General features: G+C 50.6%; 1 protein-coding gene and 1 long non-coding RNA gene across 5 annotated transcripts in view, besides 7 other annotated features; one reads left to right on the top strand and one right to left on the bottom strand.

Moving 5' to 3' along the window:
* The window catches only part of NR4A3 (nuclear receptor subfamily 4 group A member 3), a 45,007-nt gene extending 36,392 nt beyond the window's left edge, over positions 1–8,615 (bottom strand). For 2 of the 4 annotated variants that reach the window (NM_006981.4, NM_173199.4), the window contains exons 1-3: positions 8,093–8,615; positions 4,668–4,841; positions 1,507–2,459 (exon numbers count right to left, since the gene is read on the bottom strand). In NM_006981.4, coding sequence (NP_008912.2) covers positions 1,507–2,457 — 951 coding nt within the window. In that variant the 5' untranslated portion in view covers positions 2,458–2,459; positions 4,668–4,841; positions 8,093–8,615. Of the gene's footprint in view, positions 1–1,506; positions 2,460–3,033; positions 3,153–3,698; positions 3,771–4,667; positions 4,842–8,092 lie in introns of those variants that run through there. The other 2 variants (NM_173200.3, XM_017015162.2) reach the window with 2 other exon arrangements.
* Positions 5,800–5,849: a silencer, noted in NCBI's record as "silent region_20130". NCBI's record gives its function as "represses an Ori minimal core promoter by ATAC-STARR-seq in GM12878 lymphoblastoid cells {active_cell/tissue: GM12878}" and the evidence as "EXISTENCE:reporter gene assay evidence [ECO:0000049][PMID:35858748]".
* Positions 7,385–7,897: an enhancer, noted in NCBI's record as "H3K27ac-H3K4me1 hESC enhancer chr9:102584885-102585397 (GRCh37/hg19 assembly coordinates)". NCBI's record gives its function as "activates a minimal SCP1, AML or CMV promoter by ChIP-STARR-seq in primed H9 embryonic stem cells {active_cell/tissue: H9 hESC(primed)}" and the evidence as "EXISTENCE:reporter gene assay evidence [ECO:0000049][PMID:30033119]".
* Positions 8,472–8,521: a silencer, noted in NCBI's record as "silent region_20129". NCBI's record gives its function as "represses an Ori minimal core promoter by ATAC-STARR-seq in GM12878 lymphoblastoid cells {active_cell/tissue: GM12878}" and the evidence as "EXISTENCE:reporter gene assay evidence [ECO:0000049][PMID:35858748]".
* Positions 10,300–10,893: an enhancer, noted in NCBI's record as "H3K27ac hESC enhancer chr9:102581889-102582482 (GRCh37/hg19 assembly coordinates)". NCBI's record gives its function as "activates a minimal SCP1, AML or CMV promoter by ChIP-STARR-seq in primed H9 embryonic stem cells {active_cell/tissue: H9 hESC(primed)}" and the evidence as "EXISTENCE:reporter gene assay evidence [ECO:0000049][PMID:30033119]".
* Positions 10,300–10,952: a biological region, named in NCBI's record as "H3K27ac hESC enhancer GRCh37_chr9:102581889-102582482".
* Positions 10,403–10,952: a silencer, noted in NCBI's record as "silent region_20128". NCBI's record gives its function as "represses an Ori minimal core promoter by ATAC-STARR-seq in GM12878 lymphoblastoid cells {active_cell/tissue: GM12878}" and the evidence as "EXISTENCE:reporter gene assay evidence [ECO:0000049][PMID:35858748]".
* Positions 10,611–14,867, top strand: part of LOC101928438 (uncharacterized) — a 234,104-nt gene continuing 229,847 nt past the window's right edge. The window contains exon 1 of the long non-coding RNA NR_109802.1: positions 10,611–10,679. This is a non-coding gene — a long non-coding RNA (uncharacterized LOC101928438). The remainder of the gene's footprint in view (positions 10,680–14,867) is intronic.
* Positions 10,894–11,487: an enhancer, noted in NCBI's record as "H3K27ac hESC enhancer chr9:102581295-102581888 (GRCh37/hg19 assembly coordinates)". NCBI's record gives its function as "activates a minimal SCP1, AML or CMV promoter by ChIP-STARR-seq in primed H9 embryonic stem cells {active_cell/tissue: H9 hESC(primed)}" and the evidence as "EXISTENCE:reporter gene assay evidence [ECO:0000049][PMID:30033119]".

Raw genomic sequence — 14,867 nt, 5'->3', positions numbered from 1 at the left:
GATCAAAAATAATTGTTGCTTGTTGCTATGTATATCCCTCCACAAATGTGCATTTTTACAAAACTTTATAGCTTTTGTTTAATAATGAACTATCTGTACAGCTCTTTAAAGATTATAAAGCACTTTCATATATATTTTTATCTCATTGAATACACAGCTCTTCTCTGAGTTTTATTCATTGATAGGGAAACAGGCTTAGAATGAAGTGTCATGCCCAACATGATACAATTGGAAGGTGGAAGATCAAGGTCTTCTATTTGAGTCTTCTCTCACTAATTCTGGTGTACTCCCAGATATATCCTATTGGCCTCCCAAATCCAAGTTACCCAGTCAGCATCCTGCTTTCTCTTTCTTTCTACCCTGTCCAGCACTAGAGGATAAGGAATAATTTGTGTGGGTTTGTAAATGACTGAAATAATGGCCAGTGGGGTGAGGAGTGAGAAGGATGGCACAGAAGTAAGTGTCTGATAAAGTCTGGGAGTCAACAGCAAAAGGTAGCACAGCAAAAGAGCAAGGTCTTTTCCCTAAGTGGCAGAAATAACACTGAACTCAGGAGTCAGGACAAATCAGCTGGAAACATCTCATGGGCAGTTAAATCACTGCTTACAGCCTGCATAAGGCTTCACCGCTCCAGGCCTCAGCTTCCTCGTGGGTAAAATATGGGGGAGGCTGATGGCCCTCCCACTGTAAAATTTCTCCGTTAGGCCTATGAGGGAATGAATTATGTCTACACCTGGCACCGCATGTGATACAGAGGTAGGGAAAGGTTCCTAGAGGACACAAGACCCCAAGTTCTATCTTCTATGGAAAGAGGCAGCTCTTTCCATAGAAGAAGACAGTTGTCCCTGTCTCCTAGAGCTGCAGAGCTGTGAAAAGGGAATGGACTTTGGGGTCACGCAAACGTGGGTTGGCATCCTGCCTCCATCTCCCTTCTCTGAAGGTGTGTCCTGAGGCAGCTGATTAACCTCTTCAAACCTCAACATCCTCATCTACAAAACAAAGAAAATTAAAACACTGTTTTAAAACACTGTTACTAAAAATAGCTAGTGAGTGGCCAGAATTCAATCTTAGATGTGTCTGACTCTAGAGCCCCAGCTCTTACTGTAAGGATTAAATGAGACACAAATGTCCAGGGCTTGGTACGCACACACTATCCCCTCAGACACCCTGGATGGACAGACAAAGCAATGAGGTTTTTGCATTTTCGAAGTCACAGGTCCTTTTAAGACTCTGCTGAAAGCTCTCCAGAAAAATGTTCATAGGGCAGTGTCAGGCCAGGAGGTTCACGGACCCCCGGAGTCCGTCTGGGGTGGCCTGCTGCACATGGACCTCAGTAGAAAGCCCCTGAGAAAATGGATGTGAAGGTGCTAGGAAGGGCTGTAGGAAAGCATGATGTGCCGATTACAGCTCTCAAACCGGGAAGAACAAGGATGCTCCTACACTCACTTAGAAGCTCCCTTCAGTGAGGGGGCTGGGTGCGGAGGGGAGGGGGCGGCGTGCGCTCACCTTGAAAAAGCCCTTGCAGCCCTCGCAGGTTCGCACGCCGTAGTGCTGGCAGGCGGCGTTGTCCCCGCACACGGCACACGTGCCCTCGCCAGACGACGAGCTCCTGCTGGGCGGCGACGGCAGGCTGGGACTCTCGCCCAGCAGGCTGGACGCGGTAGGGGAGGGCGTGAGGCCGAGAGGCGGGAAGGCCAGCGGGGCCGCCCTCTTGGCCAGCGGCAGCCCGTACGGGTGGCTCTCAAGCGCGGCGGCCTGGCTGCCCGCGGCGGCTGCGGCTCCCAGCGGCAGGCTGAGCGCGGCAGCGGCCGTCGGGTCGTAGCCGAGGTGGTGGCCGCCGGCCGGGCTGGGCGCGGGGGGATGCGGCGGCGAGGGCTTGAAGTGGAAGAGCGGGAAGCGCGCGCCGGCCACCGTGGGGACCGCCTTCATCGGCGGGTCCAGCAGCGGGCCGGGTGCGATGCAGCCGGGCGCCGAGGGCAGTGCCTCGTCCCATAACGCCCCCGCCTGCGGGGGGAAGGCCGGCGTGGTGGGGGTGGACGGTGGGGACTGCTTGAAGTACATGGAGGTGCTGGGCAGCACCTCGTCCTCCGGGCTGGAGGCTGGAGGAATGGATGGCTGCTGATGCTGCTGCTGGTGATGGTGGTGGTGGTGGTGGTGGTGGTGGTGATGGTGATGGTAGCTGGGCGCCCGCCCCTCCTCCACTTTGATCAAGGGCCGCTGCATTTGGTACACGCAGGAAGGCTTGAGTTCGTAGTTGCTCGAGTAGCCCTCCACGAAGGTACTGATGCTGGGCAGGGACGTGGTGGCTGTAGCCGTGATCTCAGTGCTGCCAAGGTCCATGGTCAGCTTGGTGTAGTCGGGGTTCATGATCTCCGTGGTGTATTCCGAGCTGTATGTCTGCGCCGCATAACTGGAACCTGGAGGGGAAGGGCTATATTGGGCTTGGACGCAGGGCATATCTGCAGGGACAGAGAAAAGGGTCTCTCAGAAGCAAGTTAACACTTGTTTTCTAGCCAACAGGCAGCATTGGGTTCACTGTTCTCTAATCTGGGAAACAGAGAGGAAGTGTCATCCTCTCCTCCTTCTGGTAGCATAGACACAAAGCCCCACACTTATTTTCTTCATCCCTAGTAAGGAAGCTGAATTCCTGACAAAGGGGTGCCAAAACCTGGCCTCCTGTGGACTCCTGTACCTATCTTTCCTCCCTTGCCCTGTCCTCCACTAGATTTGGGAAACTTGAAGTCTTTCCTCATAAGCTCAGAGATGTTTTTAAAAAGAGGCTTTGAATCCTATAAACTAATTGGAGTGGGCTCCTCAGCTATAACCTAGGGGGACAAAGAGAAAGCCAGTGGTTTATTTGGGAGGAAAGAGGCCATTGGTCCCCCAAGGCATACACATTGATTTGTAAACCTGAGTTAGGCAAGAAAAACTACCCTGTGAGAGATTTAGTGGCCAAGGGAGAGAGTTGACATTCTAACATTTTATGAGTGCCAATTGAGGTTGCCCACACACGTTGTGGTTGCTTTCTCCCACCTCATCCCCACTCTTCCAATAGGGCTAGCAGCCTGCACAAACTGGACCCCTGTTGATAACTTCAGTCAGCTAGGTGGGGACATAGGCCCAGGAAATTGACTCGGGAGAGTTTGTACCATCTGCAAAGAAAAAGATCAGCAGCTGCAACAAAACACCCACCCATATATATATATATACACACACACACACACACACACACACACACACATATATATATCCCAATTCTAACTAATAAAACATATCAGTGACTGTTTTGTGATAACAGTTTATAACTATCATAATAGGCAAGTTAGTATAGGTATTTCCTTATGACACTAGAATTAGTACCCATGAAAAAAAGCAGTTTCTCAATAGACTTGATTTCTCTGCCAGTTTGACTATGTTGCCCCCAAAGTGGCTGGTATCCAGGGTGCTTACTATTGTTCAGAGAGGCTGAACTGAGTGAGAAGGCGCTGAGAATTATTGGATGTAGTGGATGATTTATCTAATTATTTTTCTTTCTTTATGGCTAAATATAAATGGTAAAAAACGGCGGTTTTTGGTGGTTGGTTTTTCTGAGCCAAAGGAAAACCAGGTGCTTAACGCCTCTTTGGAGTCTATGGTGTAAAAGGTGTGACTAATAGAGAAGTGAATACTTCACATTTCCTTTGACATCTTTCTCTTACCCACATTTCCAAATCTGATTGAGTCATGCATGTATGGGATGAAATCTTGACTTGAAAAAAGGTGATGAGGGCCTGTTGGAAGAAGCAGTGATGAGGAGAGGCCAGTTCAAGCCTTTCTTTAACAAGCAGGGCCTTAAAAATACACTCACTAGTTTGAAGTCCAGTTACTTATCTTGCTGTCCAGTTGTTGGGATGAAATGAAAGGCTAATCATTTAAAAGAAAGAACACTGCCTGATCTTTGATCTATTCTCCTTCTCCCTTCAGCACCTCTAGGATTTCTCCATTACTCTTTTCTGTCATTCTTTCCGGCCAATCCCTTTTTACTGCTCTTATTTGTGTCTTTCTGAGGTTTCTAGCTAGAAGATGAGCTTGCTGGGATTGTATTCTATTTATCTGCATTATCTATGGTGCCCACACAGGCTTGGCACCTAGTATTCCTTTAACAAATTTGTAAAGAGGTGGTACAAACCAAAAGTGCAATCTGTTCTTTTGCCAAACTCAAATTTACTCTTTGGTTTTCATCTCAAATGCTTTTCTCCTTCCCTCTGAGCTTCAATCATCCAAACTTCTGCACCCAAATGATTTGGGTTTTATATAAATGAAAATGCTCAGTATTGCTCTAAGTGATTCCATAACTCTTACATGTGCACACTGGCTATAAAAGAAGAGCAAAAATGAAATTAAAAATGTATAAAATACCCTAATCTATTGGTGTATTTGTATTTCTCTTAGGAAAATTAATTTTGAGCAATGCAAGCTTAATTTAATTTGGCTGCTCCACTCAGTAGCAACAGGGTGTGGTATACAGAGGAGCTTCCTGTGAGGAAGCCACCTGTGTTGTGAAATTCGCGGCCAGCAGTCACTGTCCTGGCACTGGGCAGGTCGACCACGCTGCCCGCCGAGTGTGTGGTTCCCCCACCCACTTCCCTCAGCCAGGGAGGAGAAAAGGGTCTTGCCTTCGGACCTACCTGGAGGGTATCTTGCGCGCTGAATGGTGGGGCTGGGGGTCTCTCCAGCGGAGGCTGAGAGTGTAGGAGGAGCGGACGTCCGGCGAGGCGAAGCGCCGGCAGTGCTGCCCGGCACCGCTAAGGGTCCAGGCTCAGGGCCCGGGCTTGCCGGGCTGCCCTCTTCCGCAGTGGGCTCTACAGGCAAGGTGAAAGAGGACATAGGTCACAGTGAGACCAGGATGGGTCACTACGGCCCGGGCTGGGCGCATTGGGGACTGGGGGAATTGGTTGGCAACCTCTAGAAATGTTACATTAATTACAAAGAATTATCGTAAAATTAAGGGTGATTAATGGTACAGGAGTCCCCCTGGGCAAGAAGCATCACACGGCCTCGGGGAAGCCGAGGAAAGGTTGTTGGAACCCACTGCGCCTACCACCGTTTTGTGGCACCAAAACCGAGGCTAAAAAAAAAACGCGCAGCCTGTTATTGCCCAGAAATTGATCTCTCTGCCCCCACAATTGATTCCGAGCTTACGAAGTCAGGAAAACCAAAGAAAGCAGAACACTTGAGGAACGAGCTCCGCCCGAATACGGGGGGTCAGTGAGTGTTCACCAGCGGAAAAAAGCCATTTTCCAGCTCCGCCCGCCCCCACCCCTCAAATACAAATTTTACACGTTGCATAGGAAATGCACAAGGTCCGGAACGAATGCATGAATGCCCCGAGGAATTAAGAAAGTCTGCGCTTTTCATTCTAAATGCTAATGGAGCTTCGCTTCTATTAGCCGCGAGTTTCGAGGGCCAGGGGTCAAGCAAACAAAAGGGCACAGCGATGAGAAGGCTGGCGCTGGAAGCAAGGGGACGAAGCGGACGGCGTTAGCGGCTGATGGGACGAGCGGAGGCAGGTCCCCTGCACCCAGAGGGCGGTGTCTTCGAGGGTGGGCGGCTTGGAGGCTCCTGGCCACCCAGCGGCCTAGCGGGGGCACATTCCTGAGGGCGCCGAGCGCAGCTCCGGGACCAGCGTCTCAGCCCACAGCCTCAGCGAAACTTTGTAGCTGAAAGCGCAGCTCAGCAGGCCTCAGGGAAGGAACTGGGTGCCCAAACTCCGGCCTATAGCGCCCCCTTTGCCCGGGGTGGGCGCAGCTCGAAGAGTGGGAACAGGGACCGAAAAACCCCAAATCAAACCAAACCAAAAACCTCCGAGGTGCGCGGGGCCACGAGGGTCATCTCCTGGCGCCCCTGAGCCCGGGGCTTGCCTGCAGGAAGAGAGAAAGGGACTCGGGGCTCCCAGGTCCAGGAAACCCTCGACGACCAGGAAATGGGGGATTCCCTTGCCACCCCCAGCCCCAGCTGGAGCTGCTCGGACGGAAAGCTTGCGCTCGATGTAGCGCGGGTAGAAGCGGATCTTCCCACGGCTGTAGCACGTGCTTCCCGTCTCCCCGCATCTTCAATGGGGGTCTCCAGCAATCCCCCACCCGCCCCTTCAGTGGGTGCCCGCATTCCCGTCCCGCATTCCCTGAGGGCCTTTCAAGCGGAGTCGTTCTCTGAGAGGAGGCCTCAGAACTCGGGTGGGCGGGGACCGCCTCTCCCCAACGAAGGAGTTCCCCTCGAGCGCCCAGCGTTCGCGGGAGGGACCCACACAGCCTTTCCTCCAGCCCAGCCCAGCGCCCCGCCGCTCTCTCCACCCCACAAGCGGCCGGTTACCTAGGCAAAGCCTCAGTGCCTGGAAACACGTTCCGCCGCTCCTGCTTGCGGCCGCCGGGGCCGGGAGCACAGAGCCTTGGGGTTGTAAATTAGGAAGAAATAACTACCTCTGTCAAAGCCCCTTTCTTTCTCGTGGGCAGACGAAAGGAACACCCCCGTGTTCCCCTCCCGGTGGTGAAGTGTGTGGAGGAAACCGTGAAACGCACCATTGTGACCGGGGCTCCTCTGCGGAGTTTCCAACCCTGGGGAGCGGGGGCGGAGGTTGGGCGGGGGCAAGAGGAGCGAGGGAGAGACTGACAGAAAGGGAAAGACTGAGATTCTCAGAAAGACCGAGGGAGACTAGACAAACCGCGGGGAAGAATTTCTGTGAGCGCACGGTCCCAGGCAAAGGGGTGGATGGGTGCCGGGGGGTGGGGGGCGGAGCGGACGTGGAGGTTGCTGTGGCCTAAGGAGGCTTTGATACTAACTCTGCGAGCATCTTGTTCAGCGAAAATAACTCGAATAAAGTAACTTCATTCATTGTGCCCATCAGCCACGTTAGGCAGCTTTTTCTTTCCCTAACTTGATTCTATAAAATATTTCCCGGTCGTGGGAAAAGGAGATCCGGCACTGGACTCGCGATGGAATGACGGCTCCCTGTTCTTCTCTCCCAGCACCACAAGGCCCTGGGATCACAGCCCGACATTTCTGATTACTAACTCCTCGCAGCTCTTCCCTCTGGAGAATCCGGACGCATAAATAAATAAAAGGCAATCTCCAAGAACGTTTTTGGAAATCAAGGGACAAATGCGTTCTTCCTCACCACTGCCCCGAGGCTTCCAACAGGTTGGAGAGGTGCCTTTGGAAGTCAGTCTCCGCAGGCTGCGCTCGCATGACCGCTCTCGTCTCACCACCGAGAACTTTCATTTCTACTAAGAGTAAAACACTCGGAGCAACTTCTCCAAAAGCGCGAGTTCTGTCCGTGAAAAAGCATGCCTTTCCCACACCGAGCCAACGTCCAGAGGAGAGGGACACCGTCCCCACACGTGTCAGTGTGCGGGAGTCGCCAATTACACCCGATTTACCTCCTAAGGGAAAAGTGTAAACCGGCATGTCAGCGACGACAGGCAGACGTGCCTAGTGGAACCCCAGGCTCATTTCAATACAATAAGCCACATTCCTACAATTACGCCCTCTTTCCTGAGGTCCTCCGAGTGCGTCTGCAAACTCTGGCCGTCGCTGCCTAGGCCCTTCCCTCCTAAGCTTCCTTCCAGAGAACCAGCTCGGTGCCACCATTAGCAACATTTACTTGGACCCACCAGAGCTCCTATTTTCAATCCTACTTAAAAGGCAGGAAAATTACTGCCGTTCATCACCGGAGCTGCAACTCCCTGCCGCTGCCGCTGCCGCCGCCGCCGCCGCCGCCGAGAGCATCATTACCATGACAACTAGAGCCGAAATACCCTGAATTACATCGCTGGAGCCGCTATAGCACAAATCCCGGTCCTCCTCTTTGTTAGAGGCTTTTCGCCTCTTCGAGTGGGGGGAGGAATCCCACGAGCTCCAGAGATCCCCGCGGGCCCACTACAGGGGAAAAGTTTCAGATCAGAACCTACGGGCCGCTGGGCTAGCAAAGCCGGAGCCGGGCGGCAAGGTCAGGGGAGGGAACCCCACACTCAAAGTTGTCAATTTCAGGAGCGACGCTTCCCAGCAAGCCAACTTTTTTAGCAAGTCCCCTTATTAACTGGGCGAATCTCATACGTACTTGAGTGCTGTGGCGGTTCCGTCTTTAGAGCGAGTTTCTAGAGAGCTGTCCCGAAATCTGCACTGGGGGGGAGTCACAGCTGCTGTCCCGGAAGGGCTGCGGTGTACAAGCCCAGCGGCTCCCGGAGGCGGTGAGCGGCTGGTGGGGGATGCTGCGATCCCGACTCATGGGAGAGCACAGCCGAGAGGTTCCGCGGGCGTCCTGGCTTGGGCTGTGACCAGGGGGGAGGATGCCGCCGCTGTTCCCACCTCCACGGCCACTGCCGGCACCGTCAGCGTTGCAAAGTGAGCCCGGGAGGGGCGTCCAGCTGCGGCGCCGCGCTGCACCGGCAAGGGCTCAGGGCAAGAGGGGTGTGAGCGCGCGGGAGAGCGAAGTGTGTGTGCGGAGCCTGTGTGCGCGCTTGTGTCTGTGTGTGCGAGTGAGGGAGCGGGTGTGAGCGCGTCTGTGTATGGGGAGCGGAGGAGGAGCAGGAGCTGGAGGGGTGGGGGGCGGGAGGCAGGAGACTCCGCTCTCCCGGCTGCGCGTTCGCTCGCTCTCTCGGCACGTCATTTATGCCACAGGAGCCCTAGCGGCCTCTCCATAGAGTGCCTGGAATGCGAGACGTCAATGTGACGCCATGGGACGCTACGTCACCCTCCTCCTCCCTCCCCTGGCCCAGCCGGTTCCGCGTGTGCGAGGGAGGGTGTGTGTGTTCGTGTGCGCGCGCGCGCGCGCGCGTTCCTCGGCCAGTCGCACGGCCGCACAATGGAAACTCCGCCGCACGGCCGGCCCCGGCCTGGGGGCTTCTCTTTTTGCAGCGGAACCGCTCGCCAGGGCGTGCGTCTGCGGGAGGGTGCAGCGGCCTGCCCACGGGTCAGGCGGGACCGCCCAGCTGTCAGGCTCGGGTGGAGTAGAGTTGGAGGAGTGCTGCTGGCGCGCCTCCGAGGCTGCCCCGAGGCACGGAGCCAGGGCGAGGGGGGTAAGGGAGAGGACAGCTCTTCCGAAAGGGAAGGCTCCGCCAGCCAGCTTCTGACCAGCTCCAGTGACCTGGCAGCCGGTGCAGAAGGCGTCTGGCACCAGCCCGAAGACGCCCTGAGGTGCAGCTGCACTTTCCTCTTGCATAGGTTCTAAAGCTGTTTACGTTGCTCCGGTCCTCTGCGCCCAGGCTAATCCCCCCTCCCCGCATCATTTACTGGGTGCGTGTTTCACACAGGGATGCAGATGGTTCCGGGGATAAGGTTTGATTTCTTTACACGTACGGCGTGGGTTTCTTAACTGGACACGTTATAACCCAGCGAAGTGCACATCCATCATGCACACGCGCGCTGCAGCAGAAACTACTCTGTGTGTAAAACAAACACACACGTGTTGAACAGCTGAGCGGGTCTGACTATTGCAAATCATTCCTCCTCCCCGGCACCGGGTCAGAAATGGAACTCTCAACTAGCACTTTCACTTTTTGATGGTTGTAGATGCCCTCCGCCCACATCTCCCAAATTAAACATTTCGAAATCAATCAACAGGACTTATTAGTCAGTCCCTCGCTAGGGGATTTGCTTTGGTCTCCTCGGACACATTTGTCATGAAATGGTGTGCCGAAAGCCTGGGTGACTGTATGAAGGAGAGCAATTTCTTCCTGGAAATGATAAATTTAAGTGTAAATTTCTTGATGAAAACAAAATTTATCAGAGTTAAAGACCCCTAGTCCCAAAGGTTGCTGCTGAGTGAACGCAGTCTCTTTCAGAAATGAATTTTTGGACAGGAGAAAATATTTGAGTGAAACAATGCAGATAGAGTGGTCCCCATGTGGTCCGCTTGAATCACAAATACCGTTTTATATGTTTGACCTGTCCCAATTTGTGTGTGTGTGGCGGGGGCGGGGGGCGCTGCGCCGAGGGGAGATACAAGATTCCTTTGTAGACAGCACACATTTCAGAATCGAAGAAGGTTCGAGCTAGGACCAGAAACTTGAAAACAAACTACATATAGGTAAATATGGCATGTATATCTTTCTTCGCCTCCACTTCCAATTCAGACACGGTGGTGCGGAGAGGATCGTGGGAGAATGCCCCGAAAGTTGACCCAGCCGAGAGCAACCGAGTCTCTGCACTGCGGCGGGTTCCAATCCAGCCTCGGAAGGAAGGAGGGCGCTGCTACATTGTATCCATTCAAAGGCTTGAAGGGGGGGAGCAGGACCTGGAGCCGCGCGGCGCTGACGCACGCGAGGCGCGTGATTGACGCAGGCGATGTTACTAAATTCGGCGGTTGGCCGGGACCCGCCGCCGGCGCGCGCCGCAGATAGCGGAGTAGGTTCCCCTCGGTCACCCCCGCCCCTTCTCCATTCAACGCCGCGCGGGGCGGGGCAGGGCGCGCGGGGCGGGGCGGGGCGGGGCGGGGAGCGCGCGGCCGCGCCAGGATCCGGCCGAACCAAATATAGTCGGGCCTGGCTATTTTTAGCCGGGTCTCGGGCGCGAGCCCGCCGCGTGAGGGGGCGCCCTGACCCCGCCGGGAGTGCGGAGGGGGCGGGGGCGGAGTCGCCATCTTGGACTCGGTTCGACCAGGTCTGGTGACCGGCGACGAGGGGCCGGGCTCGGCGCCGGGGGTCGGGGTGAGTGGGTGCGAGCCGTGGGAGAGAGGGGGGGCGCTGGCGGCTCTCTTCGTCCGGCGCGGGCTGTGAGAAGTGAGCAGGGCGAGGCGCGGGCGACAGCGGGGCGCGAGGCCCGTGCATGTGTGTGCGCACGGAGGTGGGGAGACGGTGATCCCCGCCCGCCCTGCGGAAGGCCCGGCGGTTCTACCACCCGGCAGCTCGGCCAGCCCCGAGTCGCGTGGGGGCGGAGCTGCCCGCGGCCACCACTTCCTGAGTGCCGGGGATACCCTTCCCGGACGTCACGGAGGAGCCGAGGCGGCGGTGGCGGCCCGGGGCTCATCCTGCACTTGCATCACGGGTGCAGCAGCAGCTGCTCTGCTCCTTTGTGGCTTTTTGCCCCGTTGAGTAACTGCTTTGTTAACTGAAAATACCATGACGGGCCAGTGTGATCACCAGCTCCAGATCTCAAAGAAAGTGAAGCTGTCAGGCAAGAAGAGGGAGACTCCCCCAGCCGGCTGCGATGGTATCTGGTGGGTGGATGTGTAGAGAAGCACTTGACAGTTTCCACGTATTACTTCTTGCCTAACTCTTCACCCCCAAGAAGATTTAAAAATACTTTTATTTCCATGCTGTAAAAATTTCATTTGTGTTCTGCACCTCCCTCACCCCCCTAATCCTCCTTCAATTAAAACTCTCATGTAGAACTGGAATCACTGTAAGCAGGAACCCTAAAATTAGGTACAGTTTTTAGGAAACATGACATCTTTCAATGAATTTATTCAATAAACTACATTTTCTAAATGTTAATATGTATGAAAGGTCCTTGCCCACTCAGGGTTGTTATAAAGCTGCTAAATTGTTCATATGAGTTGGGCTCCAGTGACCGTTTCAAAGCAGTATCCTTGTTTACCTAAATTTAAAACAAAACAAAACAAAAAAACTCTTCTCCCTGGCTGAGAACCTCCAAGCAAAGTTTCCTCTCTTTGAGTGGGTGTGTCTTCTGGACCTCTATCTTGGTTACTTCTGTGCATCCTCCTCCCTTCTCCCCTCCACCTTCCTTTACATCCTTTTCTGTTTTTTACAGCCTCACTCCTTTACATCCGTTCCTTCCTTTACATCCTTACTCCTTTACATCCTTTTCTTCCTATCAAGTGGCCAATATCTGTTCCTGGACTGCTCTGTTAGACTGAGGGCTGTTGTCTGACCTCCCTGAGCCAATCAACTGTTCGTGGCTCAGTGCTTCTCGGGGTAGGAAGGGGGACTGACTGCTGGAGAGGTCACTGAGTGGCAGCCTTTTGAAACTCAAATGGAAATTCATGGAAGCAGAGACACAGCTGTCTCGTAGACGGAGACACCATCCTCTGCTTAATCCTATGTCCCTAAACGTATGCTGTTCTTTAGGTGACCCAAACAGAATTAGTTTTTCTCGAGTCTTTTTTTTTTTTTTGAATTAGTATCTACTGCTCTATTCCTTTTCAAAAGTCGGATTTATTAGAAACCAGGCATAATATTCTGTAAGGCACATGTAATGTGACTATTTCAGTAATCTCAATTTCCTTTTTAAAAAATTTTATTAACTTTTTTATCTCTTCTTTTAGGAAATCAAATAAGACTACCTTAATCTGTGAAACGTTGAAAACTTTCTTGGCTCAGTCCTTTTTCTATAACAGAAGAGAGACATTTATATGTCACTAGTTTACATACACGAAGTTAAGTTTCTGCTTTCATGATGCTTATAGCAGCCAGCCTGTTAAAGAAGTATCTAAATTAACCATTACGGATTCACTGGATAGTTACCTTTCATTTTGTTTTGGATTTGTAGGCCTAATCTGCCTGCAAGAAAGAACTATTTCTCTTAGAAAATAAAATATGAAATTTGGGGGAAACTTATGTGTGATATAAAGCAATTGTTTTAAATTGCTTTAAATGCTCTTCTGATGAAGTAAAGACGTATAATCTTATTGCTTTTACTAATATATAGAGATGATGATTTCTTATTAATGCAAATATTGGGTGAGGAATGGTGAAATAAAAATTCTAAGCCAGAAGTTGTTACCTAGGGTGAAAACAGGAAAGAAAAGTAAAAAATTGTAAGTTCAAGTTTTGTGGAATCAATGTAGAAGTTCTATACTATATTTAAGGTACATATATAAAATTTAGTAACTTCAGCTGACATTGATTTATACACGAGATGTACCTGGCTCAGTAACCTGCAATCATTATAGTAAGTTTCTATCTGACCTACATGCTTGCCATTCGTTATCAATTCCATCATTGCCAGATTAGTCTTCCTAAAATTTAGATTTTGTTATATAACTTCTGGCCTCAAAAGTCTTCAGCAGCTGGATATTTTCTCCAAAATCAAACCTAGAGCCTCTTTTATTTCCACAGAATTTTCCTGTCCTAGTCAAACTGGTGTTCTCACTGTTCTTCAAACTTCCTTTCAACCTCCCACATTTGTTGATAGTTTTCCTTTTTATGGCATCCCCTCCTTCCTCTTCTTCTCCACTAATTGAAATTTACTCTTCCTCTAAAACTAGCCCAAGAAGTGAACTCAGATTTACTTTACAAAGTCTTTCACAGAGTCTTTCACAAAGTTCTTATTTTTCTGCCTTCTTTTTGTGCTCTTGTGTCCATGGTCTATTCCCTTGTCAAAGTGTAAGCTTCAAAAGCATACCCCACACATCTTTGAAATCCCTGTGGCACCTAAGAATGTTCGATATGGACAGTAAATGTCCATAAAATATTGCCTCCTTTAATTTGGATATGAATAGAGAGAATAGCCATATTATAAGTAACAAATTATATGGATTAGTGTTTTTTTTTTTTTTTTTGAGATGGAGTCTTGCTCTGTCACCCAGGTGGGACGATCTTTGCTCCCTGCAACCTCCACCTCCCGGGTTCAAGTGATTCTCCTGCCTCAGCCTCTGGAGTAGCTGGGATTACAGGTGCCTGCCACCGCACCTGGCTAATTTTTGCATTTTTAGTAGAGATGGGGTTTTCACCATGTTGGCCAGGCTGGTCTCCAACTCCTGACCTCAAGTGATCTGCCCGCCTCTGCCTCCCAAAGTGCTGGGATTACAGGCATGTGCCACCATGCCTGGCTGGAATAGGGTATTTTTGGCACGAGTGGGCATGTATAAGTTTATTTATTGGTTGCTTTCTTTACTTCAACTTGATACTCCAGATAGAACATACTTTATCAAGGTGCCTGCCACAAGCCCAGACAGCTGCGTGGTGATAACAAGAAAATGGCAGTTTGTCTTTATCTATTGTATCTGTGTAGGAAGATTTGCTATGATTTTTTTTTTCCTGATAGACTTTTGGTTTGACTCTAATTCTAACCTCTTTCCCCTCTATTTGTACTTTCTCTTATGCTGCTTTCTCTCACTTATGAACTAGATGCTGTAGGCTAGGAAATGTTAATATCAACTTCTTTTAGAAAAAAGTTTTTAAGGTTTGGAAAATTGCGAACCGTGACATTTTTGTATAACCAATTAAATATGAAAATTCTTGAATCTCATCTTTTCCAAAATATATTGAAATAGGTTTGCATGCTACTATATGCAGAAGTAAAATGAGCAAAACAATTTTGGATTACGATTTTTTAGAATTTTTAGATAGAAGCTCAATATGATTGAATATTAATATCAATGACTGAATATTAAAGTTTACTTTAACAAGGAGAAAGTAACATAGTAGATCAGGAAAGACTTTCTAATTGTAGAAAATTTTGGAAAAAGTAGAAACCTGAGATGGAAAGATTACTTAATAGTATAAGTGCCAATATTACTTTAAAATCTCATTAAATAATGTCTTTTCATCCATTAGAAATAATAAGAGTCAGGACAGGCTTGCAGTCTGGTTAAAAAGATAGTTTATTTCTTAGTCATGTTTTCCTCAATCATTGGTAAACTCTGGAAGACCTCAATAATCTGGGGGAGAAAAGTTATTATTCATGTGTGATAAACCAATTCAGGATATTATTTATGCCTACGAAACAAGATCTGCCTTTTAACTAGAGTTGATGGATGAAGTAAATACCTCTTTCCAAATATAACTGCATAACCCTTTCCCATCATTTCCACTCTGAAAAAAACCAAAAAGATTGCCTCACATACAAGTTCAGTTCCTTCAGCATATTCTCCAACAGTGAGATGCTATATATCACAAAAAGTACTAGACTGCTTCTCAGAGGCCTGGGTCTGG

This window comes from Homo sapiens, chromosome 9, assembly GCF_000001405.40.
Source record: "Homo sapiens chromosome 9, GRCh38.p14 Primary Assembly".
In the NCBI taxonomy this organism is placed as follows: domain Eukaryota; kingdom Metazoa; phylum Chordata; class Mammalia; order Primates; family Hominidae; genus Homo; species Homo sapiens.
The sequence above is the reverse complement of the archived record's forward strand: the minus strand, read 5'-3'. Positions and strand labels throughout refer to the sequence as shown.